This window comes from Homo sapiens, chromosome 1 (assembly GCF_000001405.40).
Source record: "Homo sapiens chromosome 1, GRCh38.p14 Primary Assembly".
NCBI classification, from domain to species: domain Eukaryota; kingdom Metazoa; phylum Chordata; class Mammalia; order Primates; family Hominidae; genus Homo; species Homo sapiens.
Genome location: NC_000001.11, coordinates 222,310,084 through 222,314,564, shown reverse-complemented (window position 1 = coordinate 222,314,564; position 4,481 = coordinate 222,310,084). Strand labels below are relative to the sequence as shown.

Below are 4,481 nucleotides of genomic sequence, written 5' to 3'. Positions count from 1 at the left end.
TACTTCAGACCTAAAAGGACTTAATGAACATTCATATGAAGAAATGCCAGCAATGTCTGCTGCTGCAGGATGTGTTGATCTCTGCTGAGGAGTTGGTGTCCAAAGTCCTCCTGCTGGTTAACAAAGTCTTATAAAAGGTGGTGTCTTATCAGCAAGTTGTCCATCTGCCTCAGGGTCTGTCTCCGGAAAACTGTCCCAAGTGTATGATTCTGATTTTAGGTAATAGCCAAAGAATCTTGCATTAGGGACCCAAAAGACACATTGGGGTTGCGGGTTGGAGAATGCATTAAGAAAGTGGGTTGCATTAGATAAGTAGTCTAAAGTCACAGGAGTTCAGAGTTTAGAGAATGAGGCAAGAGGGCAAGTCAAAGAATGGACAAATAGGAACAAGGAACTCAAAAGAGTCAAAGGACGGGCAAGGCATTGCAGTCCCTGGCTGGACAGTCTAGGGAAAGGCCAGGAGCCCCACAAGCTATTCACTCACCATTCACTCATTCACTCACTTGATAGTTGTTAAGTGACTTTTTAATGTTAGGTCTTTTAATGTTAGGACTTTTAAATGTTAGATAGAAAAGATGAGGGATATATCATAATTCACAAAACAGACATGGCCTCTTACATTATGGTGTTTATGGTCAAGTAGAACAGACACCACCAACATTGCCCCTAAGGAAATAAACTTCTTACCCAACCTGGAAGTCTGAAAACCTCCCTGCTGGGGCAGAACCAGGCCAGGGCTGGGAGGAGCCTTGACCAATTGACAGTTGGTGGGCTTCGTTAAAGCATTGACTTGTGTTTTTAACAGTCGTTTTAAATTTGCCCAAGGATTTGTGTGTGTGTGTGTATCAAACAGACGATTTATAGTTAGGTGATTTTAAAATTAATATGTAGTTGCTCAACAGACAGGAAATTTCAGATAGACAGAAAAATTAAGAGATCTATTGCACAAAAAGGAGAAATATTTTTAGTTGCACTTTTAAATTTAGGCCTTGATTGACAATTTGGGGGAACCATCTTTCTCTTCTGTCATGTCTCTTATATAGGTAATATCTTCAAAATGCCTTTCTCATTTATAAAAACATCCAAAGTAGACTGCAACTGTCTGTGTTAAAAAATATCAATCTACATTTTTTTGCAGAATGCACTAGACTTGTAATTAAATCATTAGTTGCATAATCAGTTGTATACTGTCTGTTTCTGCTACTAGATTATAAGCCCCAAGAGTGAAATATCGAACTATATTTTGTTCACTGAAGCATCTCCCATAATAACCATAATGCCTACATATGAGATACTCAATAAATAGTGAACATATGGCTTCCTAAAATAAAATTAAATTAAACCAATAGTCTATTAAAGTCACAAATTGGCAAACCTATTTTTCTTAAGGCCTTACATTTAACTTATAAAACTTATTATTCTATCTATAATTTTGGTAAATACTTACATAAGAATATATATCTTTATGTAAGAATAGATATATTTCTGTGTAAATTAATAATAGTCAATAAATTAATAATTTTAACAGGTTGACTTCCCCTAAACAATTAACCTCATTTATAAACCTAATTAATTTGTAGCTCTTAAACATCTTTGTGTAAATTAAATGCAATTTTTCTGGTTCTCTTAAGCGCATCAAATGCTTCAGAGGGAAAACTCCCATACCCAGCAAACAACTTCTTCTAGCTTTGGAGAAGCTTTTGTAAATTAAATAACATGTTTATAAATGTCTTAAATCAAGTTTAAGTAAATGTTCGCACTGTTTACAAATGAACTTTCTTATACATTTTACATGAAAAGTACAGGTAACTTCAATTTAAAAGTATACATTGTTTCAATAAGAAAAAAATAATACCTATAATTACAAAACATTTTAAAATTTGACAAAAATATTAATAACAAAGCTTTTATATATTTTATCATTGGTTAATTTTTATACATTCCTATGGGTTTAAAATCATATTTCAGACTAAAAAGAGCAGATTAAATGTATCATGTGGGCTAAGGCAATGAAGGTAAAAGCTAGGACCATGAGTTGGATACTAGCCAGCAGAGATGTCAGTGGGATACTTATTTTCTGTATAATTCAACTCAGTCACAGAAGAACCCATGGAATCCTCTCTTTTGATTGGAGACTTTTTGTGAAGTGAATGAAGAATACTCAAGTTTGTGCTGTGGGTGTTGCTATGAACTGAATGTTTATGTCACCTCCAATTTAGATGTAGAAATCCTAACCCTCAATGGGCTAGTACTTGGAGGTGGGGCCTTCAGGAGATGATTAGGACTCGGGGTGGAGCCTCCATGAAGGAGAGTAGTGCCCATAGAAAGGAGGCCCCAGAGAGCTCCCTCACCCTTTTCGCCATTTAATGATACAGTGAGAAGAAACCATCTATGAAACAGAAAGGGGACCCTCACCAGACGCCAACTCTGTTAACACCTTGATCTTGGACTTCCCAGACTTCAGAACTGTGAGCAATACGTTTCTATTGTTTATAAGTCACTCAGTCTATGGCATTTTGTTATAGCAGCCCAAATGGACTAAGATAGATGTCTTTCAAGTTTTACCTTTATCCAATTTTTATCCTCTCTTTCAGCATTTTGTTGCCTGTTTTGGATAGGAAAAAATTCTTGAACTCTTCCCACTCCTAATTGAGTGGTCTCTAATCTTTTTGCTGGATGATTAGAGGAGTTGTTGAACCTTGTACTTCACCATTCAAGTTGTATATTTTCCAGTTTGATTGGATTTCTGCATTCTTTAAAAAAAAATTTCTTGCATGGCTTTTAGCCACAATTCTATAGTCATTTATTGAGATCTAGGAGATTAATCTGGTTAAAATGGGGGGTAGGTAAGAGCAAAAGTCAGGGCTCCTTCTTACAGAAAAGGAAGCATAAGGCATTCTAGAGAACAGTTGTCAACCACTCTGGGCCAGTGAAATAAAAGTTCAGCCTGCAAGAGGAAAGCTGTCATGCTGTGCCCCTTAATTCCCCAAGCTGAAGCCTTGGTCTTACTGATTGCATGCGCCATAAAGAACAGGGCCCTGGTGAGCCACAACATAAAGAGACCATGGGTATTGCCATCTCTTTACATTTCTGGGGATATTACCATCTCTTTAAATTTCTGGGTAACAAGTATATCCGGCAGCATGGAATTGCAGACTACGGAAGAGGGATAAATAATGCAGATTCATTTAGCAACAGCAGTTTACTGACTGTATTGTCAAAAGTTATGAATAATCCATTTGCTCACTTGCTGGACTGGTTTCTCCTGCCTGAAGACCAGGAAAAAGGGAAAACCATAGTTTCCTATTGAGTGGGATGTTTTGCTAGAGGAAGGAAACCCACTAGGGATAGTTCAATACCTAATCAGGGGGACTGAAAGGCAGAGATTTAATCAATCATCCTGAAGTTCCTTGGGAGAGGTCTGTGCAGGCTCATCTGAATGTGGGCTCCGGAACTCACTCGCTGTCCTCTGGGAGGATGTGCATTTCCGCTGCCATGTAGCAGGCCCTAAAATGGGCATCAGCACTCACTGGATTTCCGGCGGAGGCTCAGTCAGGATGTCACATGCTGTAGAACAGCTGCAGAGGATGACAGTGGCAGCAGCTGACTGTGAATGCAGACAAGGGCTAAGATACTGGCTACACAGAGATTTTCATTACCAAGATATCTGGAGAGCCTTCTCTTGGACCAATTATGTAACCTTAGAGTCTATCATAGCCAAACTGCTCATCTGAGACTTCAGACCCATGAGGCTAGTTATCTTATGTCCATGGCAAAGTCCAAGAAAGAGCCTATGACATCACAGAGATTTTGAATATCAGTTATTCAAATTGATTATTTGAATATCAGTTATTCTCAGTAATATTAGATTATTCCTGCCATAAGTCTTAAGACTCATCTTTTTCTTATCATTCCCAACAGCCTAACTCAGGCCCATATCATTTTATACTTGAGTTACGACAGTGCTTCCCTGTGTCTGCTCCCTGCTATAGTCCATCTTGAGTCCCCTGTCAAGTTAATTTTTAGAAAACTCCACCTTTTATCACATCACATCACTACTCTGCTCTGGACCTTTTTTTTTTTTTTCTTTTTGAGCTGGAGTTTCACTCTTGTTACCCAGGCTAGAGTGCAGTGGCGCGACCTTGGCTGCAACCTCCATCTCCTGGGTTCAGGTGATTCTCCTGCCCCAGCCTCGCAAGTAGCTGGGACTATAGGTGTGTGCCACCATGCCCAGCTAATTTTTGTATTTTTAGTAGAGACAGGGTTTCACCTTGTTGGCCAGGATGGTCTTGATCTCTTGACCTCATGATCCGCCCACCTCGGACTCCCAAAGTGCTGGGATTACAGGCGTGAGCCACCGCACCCAACCTCTGCTCTGGATCTTGTAGTGGCTTTCTGTTATTTAGTATCTAAACATTAAACTACTCTGGATTTCCAGGACTTACAGTGTCTAGCTTTGCTTTCCTGCCCAGCATAATCTC

At 39.0% G+C, this 4,481-nt stretch overlaps 1 annotated feature.

The window, feature by feature from the left end:
* Positions 2,864-4,063: an enhancer, noted in NCBI's record as "BRD4-independent group 4 enhancer chr1:222483844-222485043 (GRCh37/hg19 assembly coordinates)". NCBI's record gives its function as "activates an origin of replication core promoter dependent on BRD2, P300/CBP, MED14 and CDK7 cofactors, and independent of BRD4, by STARR-seq in HCT116 cells {active_cell/tissue: HCT116}" and the evidence as "EXISTENCE:reporter gene assay evidence [ECO:0000049][PMID:35650434]".